The sequence below is a fragment of the Homo sapiens genome, chromosome 5 (genome assembly GCF_000001405.40).
Source record: "Homo sapiens chromosome 5, GRCh38.p14 Primary Assembly".
Taxonomy (NCBI): domain Eukaryota; kingdom Metazoa; phylum Chordata; class Mammalia; order Primates; family Hominidae; genus Homo; species Homo sapiens.
Genome location: NC_000005.10, coordinates 173757983 through 173773832, shown reverse-complemented (window position 1 = coordinate 173773832; position 15850 = coordinate 173757983). Strand labels below are relative to the sequence as shown.

The 15850-nt window shown below is 48.2% G+C and overlaps 1 long non-coding RNA gene across 1 annotated transcript, besides 1 other annotated feature; it reads left to right on the top strand.

The window, feature by feature from the left end:
• Positions 1 to 1375: 1375 nt before the first annotated feature.
• Positions 1376 to 15189, top strand: LOC124901138 (uncharacterized). The gene is made up of 2 exons (XR_007059060.1): positions 1376 to 1879; positions 13802 to 15189. It is a non-coding gene; the product is annotated as an uncharacterized LOC124901138 (long non-coding RNA).
• Positions 1554 to 2544: an enhancer, noted in NCBI's record as "H3K4me1 hESC enhancer chr5:173198292-173199282 (GRCh37/hg19 assembly coordinates)". NCBI's record gives its function as "activates a minimal SCP1, AML or CMV promoter by ChIP-STARR-seq in primed H9 embryonic stem cells {active_cell/tissue: H9 hESC(primed)}" and the evidence as "EXISTENCE:reporter gene assay evidence [ECO:0000049][PMID:30033119]".
• Positions 15190 to 15850: the final 661 nt, after the last annotated feature.

Sequence of the window (15850 nt, the reverse complement as noted above, 5' to 3'; positions counted from 1 at the left end):
TCTCGGATCACTGCAAGCTCCGCCTCCTGGGTTCACGCCATTCTCCTGCCTCAGCCTCCCGAGTAGCTGGGACTACAGGCGCCCGCCACCACGTCCGGCTAATTTTTTTTGTACTTTTAGTACAGACGGGGTTTCACCGTGTTAGCCAGGATGGTCTCAATCTCCTGACCTCGTGATCCACCCACCTTGGCCTCCCAAAGTGCTGGGATTACAGGCTTGAGCCACCGCACCCGGCCTCATGCCCCCCACTGTATTTCCTTCATGACACCTTGTCACAGCCTAAAATGATCCTGCCTGCTTGTTCAGTTGCTGACTTGGTGCCTGTCTTGTGGACTAGATCGGTCCTATGAGAGCGACCCCCATGGGCCTTGCTCGTGGGGCGCTCCCCTGCATGGAGAGTGGCACATGGCATATGGCAGGCTGCTCAGTAAAACGTGTTGCAGGAATGTTGAATAAAGAAATATGACCTCAACTTTTCTTTTACTTTACTTTTTTATTTTTTGAGACAAGGTCTCACTATCCACCAGGCTGGAGTACAGTGGTGCAATCATAGCTCACTGCAGCCTCAACCTCCTGGGCTCAAGCGATCTTCCTGTCTCAGCCTCCTGAGTAGTTGGGACTACAGGTGTGCACTACCATGCCTGGCTAATTTAAAAATATATATATATATTTGTAGAGACAGGGTCTCTGAGTCTTTCTATGTTCCCCAGGCTAGTCTTGAACTCCTGGGCTCAAGCAATCCTCCTATCTCAGCCTCCCAAAGTGCTGGAGTTACAGGCATGAGCCATTGTGCCCAGCCTCAACTTTTCAAAGATCAGCAGTCAGAGAGCTCCGCTGTGAAGTCCAGCTTCTTTCAGGCTGGCTATCTTTGTGTGTCTGTGTTCATTTCCGCAGCCAGTTCACATTCAGTCTCTGTTGTTGGCTGGCTGTGTGGGCCTTTGGCAAATTTCTGAAGCCTCCCAGGCCTCAGTCTCTGCATCTCTAAAGTGGGGCTATTATGATCAGCCCCTTCATCACAGAGATGTAGTGGGAAGTAAATAAATGAATCTACAGCACTTAAGAAAATGCCTGACTCAGAAAGGCCTCTGTAAACGTCATCTATCAGCAGCAGCATCATGTTTTGGCTGGGGCAGGCAGTGGGGGCGACAGAACGAGCTCTGGGGCCCTACCAGAAGATTAGGGGATGAACGCAGCTTGCAAGGCCAAAGCTGTCCCCATTTGGTTTTGCCAGCTCTTGCTCATCCATGAAATAAACCGGATGAAGCCTTCATCCAGCCCTTGTTTTGAGAAGGAGGCAAGCAGAGAGCGTGGATTTAATGTGGCAGATGGTGCTGTCCTTGAATTATGAAACCAAAGGAGGAAATTAAAGTGCTCCATTGCAACAGATATGGGCCAGCCGGGGCAGAAGGCAGGAGGTGGGGCAGAAAGGAGGGCAGGAAGGAGGTGCTGTATCAACTGGGCAATGGCTATTTTCAAGGGTAGCTGGAGTCCTAAGATAATAGAATTCCGTAGCCCCATATAATTTTAGAATCTTCATCTTACATAGGCAAATGAGGCTCAGAGAGGGAAAGTGACTGTGAAGGTCACACAGCCAGTTAGTGGCAGAGCAACTCACACGTCCTGATTCCTTGAACAGTATTATTTTCTGCTGCCCCAAGCCAAGGCCAGTGGCAGACCCTGTCTCAGGGCTTCCTGATTTTGGGCAGCTCTGCTTTTCAGAGGACTTCTCTGGACAGGCACCCAGTGTCCAAAGAGAACCCAGGGTCAGGCAGCACAATCCCAGGGGCTTCTCTGCAGCTGCTCTCCTCCCAGCACACAGGGAGATACCAGCCACCGTCCCGGAGCCATTCGGCCTGGGTCTGAAGCCCAGCAACCCGAGGTAAGTTTTTTACTGTCCTGGAACGTCAGTTTCCTTATCCGTAAAACTGGAAAAATAATAGGCTCTTCCTTATGGAGTTGCTGTGAGAATTTGATGAGCCATCATCACATACAGTTTTCGGTCCTCAGCTTGGCACATAGTAAATGTTCAATAAAAATGTTAGTTCTCTTTGCAGCCCAGAATCGACTTCAGAGTCTAACGGCCCCCTAGGCTGTAAGCCCCTCAAGGCAGCTGTGTATGGCACAGCTTTTGTTCTCTGTGCCTTGTACAGCACCTGCCACCTGCTAGGGGCTCGGGAAATGGCGGTGGCCAATGCCAGGTCCCCTCGAAGACACCCATTTCTCAGTGGGCACCGTGGAGCACCGGGAAATGCTGCCAGCGATGCATGTGACTCTGTCACTCGTTTAGACTTTAATCCTAAACGGATAAAGCAACCTTTCCGTCCAACGGTGAACCAGCCTCGTGATGAGGGCTGTGTTTGTTTTTCCAGCCTTCCTCTGTAGCAAGGCGCCTTTCCCCAACGACACCGTAGGCTATTTGCATTTAAATTGGTTTTCTCTCATTATAGAAATCTCTTAGGTCAGCTGGAGTTTCCATTTTCCTCCCAGTCAGTTTGGAGCCTCCATTTCTCGCTTGAGGGTCCCTCGTGCTTTCCTCCCTCTCCCTGGCAGTGAGATGTGATCACGTATTCTCACTGTGGAGACCAGATATCCTGAGAAAGGCGTCTGCGTCCCATACGAGCTTGGAGTGTGTCTCACAGGAGAAGGGGGAGGGGAGGGAGGCGGGGAACGGAATATCCTGGCCCCTGCAGTTGCGGGAGGAGACCCCGTGGTCCTTCAGCTTCAGGATTTAGAACTCATTTTCTCATTTATTCCAGAAACATCTACGAAGCATATTGCTGGGTGCTTGGAATGCGGAGATAAATAAAACACACTTGCTGCCTTCTAGGAGCTCCCTGTCTAGTGGAAGAGACAGAAAAGCAAAATTTAAAAAATATATATGTTCAAATAATTGCTTTAATATGGGTCAGAATATATTCCAGCCAGACTAGAGGCTTTCAGATAATGTTCATCATAAACTAGAGTCTCTCTCTCTCTCTCCCCTCTCTCTCTCCCCCCTCCCCTCTCTCTCTCCTCTCTCTCTGTCTCCCCTCTCTCTCTCTCTCCCCTCTCTCTCTCTCTCCTCTCTCTCTCCCCTCTCTCTCTCCCCTGTCTCTCACACACGCACACATCACTGTACATACATGCACACACACGCACACACAGGTGTGCATACATACTAGCTAACATGGTTATAGCACTGCTTAAGTAAACAGGTAGTCTTGTAAGATATATAGATATAGATATAGATATAGATATAGATATAGATATAGATATGCACACACACATACATACACACACATATTCACACATTCACATATGTATGATATAAATTATATGCTTATATATTAATGTAATATACATTATTCACTTAATCTTCATGAGAAACTATGAAGAAAGTACTGTCATTATCATTGTTTTACAGATGAGGAACTTGAGACACAGAGAGATTAAGTCACTTACCAAGGTCATTGCTAATATTAGGTTGGTGCAAAAGTAATGGCGGTTTTTGCCATTACTTTTTAAAATGGCTAAAACCGCCATTACTTTTGCACCGTCCTATAACTATAGAGCCAGACTGGAACCCAGGCAGTCTGGCTTCAGAGCCAGTGTTCTTCATCCTATGCTAGAACCACACAATAAAGAGTGATGTGCTCTTGCATTTTCTCATCTAGCTCAACTTTCAAAAGGTGCTGGCCAAGATCCATGACCCCAATTTTCTGACCCATTTATGGGCTGTGAGCCATGGTTTGTGGAGACTAAAGTGAACCCTGGAAGGAGTGCTCAAGTCCTCCCAGAGAATCAGGAAGAGTGTCACAGGGAGGAGATGCTTGTGTTGGGGCTTCAAGGATGACTTGGAATTTGGCAGATGAAGAAGAAGAAGGGCAGAATAATTCATGAAGAACAAGCATATGCCAATCCCCAAAGTATGAGCAAGCATGGAGGCCTAGGGTCTAGGGATCCCCCATTGTAGAGCAGTGCTCAGGTGTGGTGGAGGCCGAGCAGGTGGTGAGACATGAGACTGGCAAAGACCAGATCACAACAGGCCTTGAATGTCACACGCAAAAGCATGGGCTTTTCCTGAGGGCAGTGGGCATGAATGAATTTGAGCAGGAGAGGGACATGGCCAGTTAGGAAGATCACTGTAGCTCTAGGGTGGATGGCCGCCTGGACAGGGAGAAACTCAAGGCTAGGAGACAGTGTAATCAATAAACCTGGCCAATGGTTGCAAAGGCTGTCAGTCATTGGGCATAATCAACAGGGTTTGGGGTTTTTGCCCAGCACACCAGTGTGTGACATGGAGCTTCATCTACCCAGAGGGATGTCTTTGTCTCATTCACCCACAGACACTTTACAGGATGGTGGTGGTCCTGACTTGTGCTAGTCAATGGGAGTTGGGACAGGGCTGAACTGAGCAGTGGTATTTGAGGAAGCGATGGGAGATTAGTCGCATGAGATAGAATGAGGCAAAGTAATCTGGTGGCCAACCAGCGTCAGGGCTGAGGGAGAGCAGAGAGGTGGGAATGGTGCTCAGGTTTCTGTCTTGCTCAACGAAATAAACCTTTAATCCTTTACTTTTACACAAGGGGTTGGCAAACTTTTTCTATAAAGAGCCAGATGGAAAATACTTTAGGCTTTTCAAGCTCTGTGGTCTCTGTCATAGCGACTCCACACTGCCATTTTATTGCTAAAGCAGCCACAGACAACACATAAATGAACTGTGTTCTAACAAAACTTTATTTAACAAAACAGGCAAGGGGCCAGATTTGGCCCTAGGGCTGTCATTTGTTGACCCCTGTACTATACCATGAGGTAAGCAAAGTGCCAAGTAGACTGCCAACTAGGTGTGCCAGGTTGCTATTAAGTGAGAGAAAGGCAAGAACCCTTCTCAGACACAGAGGAACTATCTATCTCTCCTTGAGGGTGCTTCATGATCATAAAAAGATCCATCTGAAATTGTAGAGTAATTCCAACATCTAGCCCTGGGAAACCAGCTCTGGCAGGATGGAGGCAGGGTGTCTAGCCAGACGCTCAGTCTCTGTTACAGTCAGAGTGGAGGTCCTGGTCTGATACTACCATTGGGTACAAATGCAACACAATAGTAACACTAGCAAAACTTCATTAAATATTCTTTCTACACCAGCAACTGATCTCATTTAATTCCAACAAAAACCAGCAGGGCAAGTAGGTACTATTACACATCCCCGTTTTACAGATGATTAGACTGAGGCCCAAAGAGGCTCAATACCTCACCCACATCATATGGCTAGCAAGTGGCAGAACTGAGGCTTGCAACTCAGGCAGTCCAATCCCAGAGCCTGACTTGCCAACCACTCTCCAAAACGGAGGCCGTCAAGCCACATGGATGCCCACTGCCATCACGGCAAACCCACATGCTAGACCTGACACTCAGGCTGAAGCTACTCAAGGACTTGGGAACCTTTTGTCCTCTGGCCTGCGTGGTGCAGTTGTTGAAAACAAGCAGATGCAGGGAGACAGACCCATCTGCTTCAAAACCAACATCAGCAGCCACAGAGGAGGCACAGCTCTCTGAAATCTCTTCTATTAAGCCAAATGGTTGTCAGAATTAGTTCGGATGAACTGAATATATTTATATGTGAAGGTATTGCTGGAGGGTGTGGGGGCAGAAAACGAATGATCTCTGTGTGCTTGCTCTGCAAACATCCACCGAGGACTGCTGGATACCCTGTCCCTGACCTCCTGGAGGGCACCCTCTGGGAGGCGGCCAGGCACAGAAGCAGACGGTTCAAATGCCCTGGACGTCATGCACAGTGGGGTGAATGCAGGGTGCACTGGGGACACAGAGCAGGGATATCTGCCTTAGCCTGGGCACAGGAACCTGGATCCAAGCCCAGATTGGCTGAAGGGTCGAGTGGCAGCCAAGGATATTCCAGGCAGGGGGAACAGCATCTTCAAAGACAAGGGGGATTTGAGGTTTTGCTGAAGGTGAAGACGTCATGTAGAAAGGATCCAGTTGGAGAGACTGGGGACAGGTACTAGGGAAGTCTGCCACCCAGCCAGCTGGCCTGGACCACTGTAGGCCAGAGGCCACCTTGTTCTCAGCTCCTCTCTGCAACTAGAACAGCCTCTGAGTTCTAGATGAAACGCAAGGTGCTTGCCAAGAATGCGGTAATGCCAAGAACACTCTGCTGAGGTTGCATCTTGAAATAGTAAAAACGAGAGATAGTAAATCACTGCTGTCACACTATGCATTCATTATACCTGCGCTTGCAGAGGTTTAATTTGCTACACTCACTGAAAGTGTGAAAGTGGGCAGACATTAATATTGCTGTCAGCCCCTTTGTAGTATTAAAAATGTTAACAGCTCCCGTTTTAGGGGCCCTCACATTGGCCAGCACATTGCCTTAGTGCTTTATATATGATGCTATCCTATTTAACAGAGGGACAATCTGAGGCTCAGAGAGGTCCAGGAACTTGCTCAGTGTCGTATGTTGAGGAAAGGAAGAAGTCAGGGCCCAAACCCACATCTCCCTGACATCTGCGCCCAGGGTCCTCCCTCTGGGCCCCCTTGCCTTGACATCCTATGATTTAAGGACTTTGTGGATTTCTGAAAACGTTTTCATCTATTGTTATATTTGCCCCTCCAAGGAACCTTCTCATAAGGTAAGGAATCTTGGCTCAGAGAGCTAAACTGTCTTCTCCAAGGTCACACAGCTTTTGAAGGGGCAGACTGGAGACTTGAACCGAGCTCTCACCACTGCAAAGCCAAAGCTGTCTCTTTACCATGGCTCCCAAGTTCACAGCAAAGAAAATGGACAGCTAACATTCCATGCAGCTATGATTTTTTTTTTTGTTCTTTTTTTTTTGAGACAGTCTTGCTCTGTCGCCCAGGCTGGAGTGCAGTGGCGCTATCTCGGCTCACTGCAAGCTCCGCCTCCCGGGGTCACACCGTTCTCCTGCCTCAGCCTCCCGAGTAGCTGGGACTACAGGCGCCCGCCACTACGCCCAGCTAATTTTTTTTGTATTTTTAGTAGAGACGGGGTTTCACCGTTTTAGCCAGGATGGTCTCGATCTCATGACCTCGTGATCTGCCCGCCTCGGCCTCCCAAAGTGCTGGGATTACAGGCATGAGCCACCCGGCCGCAGCTATGATTCTTTAAAAAAAAAAAACCCACACTCGTGTTCTCTTGATCTTTGGCAGGTATTCGTTAAGCAATCAAAAGACAAATACCTAGGAGAGCGGAATGTGCAGGTCACAGCCAGAATGACATCATAAGGAGCAGACTGTGCCAAGTACATTTCATTTCCTCTGACAGGATGGCAGGCTGGGAGATAAAGCCCAAGCCACTGACGTTGTCAGTTCCCTTTGTTCTGAAGGACAAGCTAGATCAGCTCCACAGAAACGACTGAGGACAGAAAAGGAGACAAGTCATGCCACACACCCACAGAGGCACACCCACATAGACCTTCACAGACACACCAACACACACTCACAGGCACAGAGAGACACGCAGACAGGTAGACACACTGAAAGACATATCAAAAGGCACACGTGTATAGAAACACACAAAACACCCACACATCCCCAGAGACACACGTGCAGACTCACAGATACACACACACAAATACACACACACAGTCATGCAAACACACCTGCCTCTCTTCCATGTGTAGTCATGCAAATACACAGACAGGCGCATATACACAGACATTTTACACACTCACAGAAATGGGTGCAGACACACACACACACACAGACACACATACATGCATATATCCACATCACCCCTTGCTGCCTACTCAAACCCCCTCCTCAGTAGTCCCGGAATTATATTCTTCCCACATTGGAGACTTGGGAAAAGGAATACCTCTGGTATTTGTGCATTTTCTTGCCCCTTTCTTGCCTGATGTCTTTATCTCAAAGCTTTGGCAGTCAGCGAGGGAGGAGCTGCCTATACTACTTATTTGTAGTTTTTTGAATGTCTGTCTCCCTTGCCAGCCTGGGAGCCTAGCACAGTGTCTGTCAAGCACGTAGTAGGTGCTCAGCAAATATCTGTGAAATGAATGAATCAAACAAGTCTATATCCTTGGTGTTTAGCACAAGACTTGGCGCAAAATATGTGCTCAACTGAAGTGTGTCAAAAAAAGTAATACATGATTACGTATTATGTATGATTATGAACCACGTTCTGTTATATGCCAGGCACCTCTATGACTTCATTTTATCCTCTCCAGACCAAGAAATAGACACCAATTTCTAGACTAGGAAAATGAGACCCAAGGAAGTTAAATAAGTTACCCAAGTTTCCCAGATTCCTGGGGAAGCCATTCAAAGCCAGGCCTCTGATTGCTAAACTGACACTCAAAACAACAACTGTAGACTCTACGAAGAAATGGATGAATGAATTTTTCCCTGTGTGACACAACTCAGTGATGACCTCCACAGCCGGCTGTGACTTATCCAGGTGTGAGGTAACTCTGGAGAATGAACCGTCACGTTGTCTTCAATCCCAGGGTGACGGCTCAGTCTCCAGCCTCTGTCTGGAACCTTCCATGGGATTGTATTTTGAACATATTACATTACATTTACAGATACATATAGTGGATATCCATAGATCTATATCTATATATAGATATAGATATCCAAAAGCTGCTGATGTTTGCATTTCTGCGTGCTTCCTCTCAGCTTACACACACGCACACGCACAAAGCACATATATATTATATATATGTTTGTGTATTATATTACTATATATCTGAACATTTGTCGTTTGAGGCCCATTCTAGCCCCAGATGTTTTTCTTCTATGTTTGTGTAAACCACACAGCCCCACCCAGAATCTGTCAAATATTTTCATTTCCTTTGCCTTGGTACAATCCGTGGGTTTAAAACTCAACCAACCTGTAGGCCAATTAAGCTACTTTGCATAACAGCTGCTTTTGGCAGTGATGGATGGTGCCTGGTTGAGCATCTTGCGAATCCCGAAAGGCTCCTACCTCTGTATTATCTGCATGCCTGAGACCTGCTCAGATTCCCCTCTTTGGCCCCCTCACCCCCACAGTTTCCCTGAAAAAAGGAGGGCTGTGCAGAGAACCTTTGCCTCTGTCTGGGACAGGCAGAATATGGATAGAGACACAGAGCACAGAGGTCAGACTCTTTCCCCACAAAGGAAAATAAAAATGTCCGGCGGTAGTGGCCTCCTGGTAGGCAGGGGGCCAGGGCAGGCGGTGGTGACTCATCAACACCAGGCGGCCTGACTCAAGGCAGAGCAAGAGAGTGTCTCCGGCTCCTGTAATGAGCTCCACACTTACTCATAGCTTTGCCAGGCTAAGCACGGAGACATCTGAGGGCAAGGGAGGCTCTATTTCTGATAGCTTGACCCCAAAGATGACGTAGGTTGTTGTCTATCACTTTCTTTAAAAAAATCACTCTGTTGTGGCCAGGCACAGTGGCTCACGTGTGTAATCCCAGCACTTTGGGAGGCCGAGGCGGACAGATCACCTGAGGTCAGGAGTTTGAGACCAGCCTGACCAACATGGAGAAACCCCGTCTCTACTAAAAATACAAAAATTAGCCGCGTTTGGTGGTGGGTGCCTGTAATCCCAGCTACTCAGGAGGCTGAGGCAGGAGAATTGCTTGAACCTGGGAGACAGACATTGTGGTAAGCCGAGATCATGCCACTGCACTCCAGCCTGGGCAACAAGAGTGAAAGTCCATCTCCAAAAAAAAAAAATCACTCTGTCGCTTCCCAGTTGCACACTCTATTCACTGGGGAGCCCTGCGTGAACAGAGCAGAGTTTTAAACACTGCTTTAAAAGCAGTGGCCAAGTAGCCCATATTTTCCCTACCTTAGCCACCTCAAATGCCTCTCCCCACCAGCAGCTACCTGAAATTCCCCATTAGGAGTTCACTTCATGAGACTGAACTTAGCCCTCTCCTGGGGTTGTTCTTTAAACTATACCCTCATGAGGAGTGAGATGAGATGGAGGGAAAGGGTGGTAGCAAAATAAAGGAGAGAGCTACTGCTGGCCCAAGCCAGACACGACAAAATCATCTTCTGGACACCCACCATCCCTAAATCTCATTTTCAGAGATACTGCAAGGGACAGAAAGAGGACGTGACCTCCTGAACATTCACAGAAAGGCTAGATTCAAATGCAGGTGTATGTGGCCCCAATATACTCTTTCCACATATCCCTGCTGACTCCCGAATGCTTTACGGTCCTACGAAAAGACTGCAAGACACCACACTGTGTCTGCATCGGGATTACAGATAAGAGTCCACTCAAGTGTCAAAGCTAATACGCTGGTAGGACCCAGAAAAATGTAATGCTTCAGGGAACACTGGTCTATTTCATGGAAATATTGAAATTTAGAATACACCACCCATCTTGCTAGCAAGGTGACCAAAAGCCCGCAGCAAAGGATGGCAGAGCAGAAGGAAAGAAAGAACGTGGGTCTCCTGATGGGATAGTGAGCTGCTGACTCCAGCCCTGGAACTCTCTTCTTCAGCGAGTCTTAATGCCTTATTTATCTGGGCCACTGTCAGCTGCACTTTTTTTTTCCTCTCTGTTGAAAACATCCTAATTGACTACCACCCATGGCAACTATGGCAAAGTACTAGAGTTCCACAGCTGCCTCTTGCATGTACTTCCAATCTGGGCTTTTCTGCTCCAGAACCTTCTGCTAAGGTTCAGAACTGCAACACTGAGAGGTTTCTTATCCACGGGATCCTGACTCCTTCCTGGACTTCAGACTAAACCAACCCTCTCCTCCTCCCCAACCCTTTTTTTTTTTCCAGACACGGTTTCGCTCTGTCACCCAGGCACCCAGCCTGGAGTGCAATGGTGCAATCAGGGCTCACAGCAACCTCGACCTCCCGGCCTCAGGCGATCCTTCCGAGTAGCTGTGACCACAGGGGTGTGCCACCATGCCTGGCTAATTTTTAAAAAAAAAAATAGTTATATAGATGGTTAGAAGTAATTTTGTCCAGGTTGGTCTCAAACTCCTGGGCTCAAACAATTTTCCTACCTCAGCCTCCCAAAGTGTGGAGATTACAGGCTTGAGCCACTCCATCTGAACCTCAACCTCTATTTCTTTGGGTGTCCGTCCTGTCAACTTGGCAAATGGCACCATTAGAGGGCTTGGAGTTGCCCTGGTTACCCACATCCCCTCAGATACCCAGTCTTGCCAGCCCTACCCTCCAATCTGGGAATTTATCCCCTGCACGTCCCATCCATCTTCCCAGTGCAAGCTTCAGGTTGCCTTGCCGGTATGGCTGTCCCAGGCTCCTCACTAATACCCTATCTCCAGCCCATCCTCTACCCTGGCCCAGGAAGAAAACACTTTCTAAACACAAAGCCTGCCATATCACCACATGCTTAAAACTTCTCCCATGAGTCTACATTTCCTGAAGATAAAATCCAAATGCCTCAGCCTGACATCCAAGACGTCTTGTTACCTGATTCCTACCCACTTCTCTCCAACCTTATCTGCAGCCATTCCTGGAGACACAACCTGTGTTCCCTTCAAAGAGACACACCCACACCACTGACTGTTCAGAGGCTGTCTTCCTACCACCCCCCCGCAACCTTCGGACGTACTCCTATCTCTGCTGAACTCCCCTTTCCTTGATTCTATAACTCCAGTCCATCCTTCAAGCTCAGTCCTGGGCTCCCAGAGGGTCAGCCTGCACGGAGTGCCTCCTCTGGCATCTCTTATCACACTATGCCTGTCAATCTGTTTACAAGACTGACCTCCACTTTTCCTCATTAGGCTGCAACTTCTGAGGACTGATGCTAGGTCTTTATTTTGTTTTATTTTTATTTATTTATTTATTTTTTGAGATGGAGTCTCGCTCTATCACCCAGGGTGGAGTGCAGTGGTGCAATCTCGGCTCACTGCAATCTCTGCCTCCTGGGTTCAAGCAATTCTCCTGCCTCAGCCTCCCAAGTAGCTACAGGCATGCACCATCACACCAAGCTAATTTCCGTACTTTTTATAGAGACAGGATTTTACCATGTTGGCCAGGCTGGTCCCGAACTCCTGGCTTCAGGTGATCTGCCCACCTCGGCCTCCCAAAATGCTGGGATGAACCAGTGTGTCCAGCCTTGGTGCTGAGTGTTTTACTGTTTTTGTCTTTAGCACCCAGAACAGTGACTGACCCATGGCAAGAGCTAGTAAATGCATATTGGATGGATGTGAGGGGCAGATAGTGTTAAGAAGGTCTGTGGTTTCCTCTGGCTTTTTATTTTCCTGCCTTGGCCTTCCCTGCTTGAAGTCAGTTGAGGCTGTTCCCTGTGACAGCAGAAAGGAGACAAAAATGAGTCTTCGTTGGCTTTTCAGCTTTGAAGATGAGTTTCTCAGGAGATTGGAAAAAAATCATGGCTTAGCCAAAAAATGCTGGAGGAGGACATCATGAGCAAAGGCTCTCCCTGGGGGCCTGTGGACCAAGAGAACATTCCCAGGCTGATGTGGAAAGGTTATCACAGCAGGAGTGCTGAGACTGTCAGTGTCCTCGAGAAACTGATCTTTGTGCTCTGCTCTCTCGGCCAGGTGTCAGGGCAAAGACAAAAGTCCCTAGAGGCATGGCCCATGAAATCTCACAGCAGAAAGGAAGAGGGGGTGCCTAGGGATGAGGGAAGCGCCAAAGGAAGTGGCCACATAGTACATCTAGGAGACTCGGGGCTTACCTGCCTCATGGATCCTATGAGAAACAAGAGATAGAACAGTGATGACTGTGAGCCCCAGAATGTCACAGAAGCACAGAGTCACCTGACTGGAGACAGGTTGCAGACGGGAGCAAGGGACAGCTCCATGGTGGCCTGCATTGACCCATGACCCAGAATGATAAATGCCAGGGACAGGTGGCATGGGAGAGCAGGTGGCCATCCTTCTATCACCTTTGTATAACACGCAGAAATGCAATCTCTGGGAAAAGGAGGGGCAGATCAGCTGAGACTGATTTGTTACCTACCTGGGCTGAGTGGAGGCTCAAAATAGGAACTGAACTCAATTATGATAGAGATATTTCTATCTACCCCACACCTGAGTTTATGGACTGAAAATTATACCTTCTACAAGCACAGGACTGAACTCAGATGATAAAAAACAACATGCCCCAAACACACACATATTCAGAGCTGGGGCCTGGCCTGAAATAAGGTCCATCTCTTTCCTCCATTCTGACTGCCGGGGCAGTGCAGCATGACATGCCAAGAATCCGTGAACTAGATCCAAAGCCTCTCTGGTTGAGGATGACAACTACAGCTGAAGGTCCAAACACAGTTAACCATACAAGGAACGAGAGTTGAACAGTCAGGGCCCAGACTTCTGTTTGAAGGCAACCTTTTGGGGCTACCCAGTACTGAGTAGGGCTTCAGGCACCCCTCCTTCCTGTGACTCAGAAGCAGGGTGTCCAAGAAAGTCTTCTTGGAAAAAATGAGTTTGGGGATGAACTTTGAAAATGAGTAGAACTATGAAGGGAGAGAGGGAAGAGTCACCAGGAAAACAGAACTACACAAGCAAAGGCCCCACGGGAGGAGGAGTTGGGCTTGCTCATGGAAGGAAACAGGCCCCATGTCTGGAGCCTGGGAGTGGAGGTGGGTGGATGAGGCAGGACCTCGCTTGGCACTTCCAAAAGCCAATTGGCACCTCCCTGCCCCGAGTGATCCCTTCTTCTGATGTTCATGCCCATGTGGAATCCCCTCACTTGAGTTTGGGCTGGACCTAGTGACTTGCTTCTGATGAATGGAATAAAATAGAGAAGGATGCCCCTTCTGGGGTTTCGTTATAAAAGACTTCCATCTTGCTCCCATTCTCTGTCTTCCGTTCTCACTAGCTCATTCTGATGAAGCAAGCTGCCACGCTGTGAGCTGCACTATGGAAAGGCCCATGCTGCATGGCACTGAGGAGGCTCCAGCCAGCAGCCGATGAGGAGCTGGATCCTGCCAGCCGCCACGTGAGTGAGCTGGGAAGCAGATCCAACCCCATATCAGCACTGAGATGGTCACAGCCCCACGGACAGCCTGCTTGCAGCCTTGTGAGGGACCTTGAGCCTGAGGACCCAGCTAAGCCACACCCAGCTTCTCAACCCAGAGAAACAGTGAGATGATAAACTGAGCTGGCTTTTAAGCCACTAAGTTTTGGGGTAATTTGTGACACCGTAATGGATAATTAGTACAGCCAGTAACATAGGCAGATATGAGACAGTGCAAAATATTTTAGATTTTAGTGGTTATCCTTTGGGTTTTAGAGTTCTCCAGGTAGGTTCTCAACCTGGTACCCACATGTAATCCATCTGAGCTTCTGGTTCTGAACCTTCCTGATGCGTAAAATCTATGTATCATCTGAAGTTGGATGAAAACCGATGTTGCTTTATTAACATCGAGGTGGTAGGTGGGCAATGGGAGGTTGAAAACGTCGGGGACTAACCTCAACTGACAACCTATTGGACTCTGGCCCTTGCAGGATATTTTGCTGAGCGTTCAAGTATCTCACTGATCCTTAAGGGTATCCATGAATCCTGAGATGTGCAGTTAAGTAACTCACCCAGGAATAGCCAGCCAGCCAGAGGTGTGGCCAGGACCTTCCTGCAGCTCTGCCTCTGAGACCACCTGTATGCCACAGGGTTCTGACCTTACTCTCACCAGTGGCCCTTTCCAGAAACAGCTGGTCCACTGAGTGAGGACTGACGGTGGAGAAGGCAGAAAACCTGAGATACTTTATTGTTCCTGGGGAAATATGCCCAGGAAACCTTTCCAGGGAAGTTGAAGAAGCTGCATGTTGGCTATGGCAGAGGTGACATTCTGCCATTGCTCTCTACTAACAGAACCCCTATTATTACTGGGAGCGTCTACCTGCCCCATAAATTTCCCAGCCCCTCTTGCCATAGAGGGTACCCAATAAGATGTAAGTTGAAGTCATTGGGAGAAGCTTCCGGTAAAGATTTTTTAAAGTGCTGACTCATCTGAGAGGTGCCTCCTCTTGCACTGCTTGCCCCTTCTTGGTGCCAGGAATGTGGACATAATGGCTGGAGCTGCAGTAGCGTTTCATGACCATGCAGTGACCTTGACAGAGGAAGCCACTCTCTAAGGGTAGCAGAGCACAAAGATAGAGCCTTGTCTTCTTGGAAGGGATGACTGAGGAGCCATCATTCTAGCCTTTGACTTTTTGCATCAGGATTTATTTTATATGAGAGAAAAGAAAGTAAACTCTTTTGTTGTTTAAGCCACTGTTATCTGGGTTTTCTGTTACAGGTATCTGGTACCAGCCCTGAGTGATATACTTGCATTCTTAGTAAGGTGTTTAAGCAGGATTTGGGGATTTCATTTTTAAATGGCCAGGATCCCAGACTCTCAGAAAAAAAGTTCCCCTTCTCCCTCTCTTAGTTAAATAATTATTAGAGTGCTCTCCAGAATACAGGGACACTGAAATTTCCTGAGCACCTGCTCAAGGAAAAACCATACCCCACGCACTGTGCTCAAGTTGTATTCTTTGTACTTGCCTCACAGTGAATTTGTGAGATGGGATCACCAACCCATTTTATGGACGAGGAAATGGAAGTTGGACAGACTATACCACTGTTCAGGGAGACACAGCTAGAATCTGAACCCAGACCTCTCTGACTCCATGGCCCAGACTTTCTCTGTCTCCTGGGTCTAGAACTCTGTGTTCCGGTTTGGGCAGAAGGTGGGGCCAGTTGGACCATTCAGAGGGCCCTGGCTCAGGGTGCCATCCCTACCCCCAGATCTTCCACCTGCAGCCACAGGCAGAAGTCTTCTCCACTGCAAGGTGATAAAGCAGACAGCCCAGCTGGCCGTCCTCTCCTCACTCGCTGCCATCCTATTTAGTGGCCATCTGGCTTTCATCTCTGTGATTCTCGGACTGT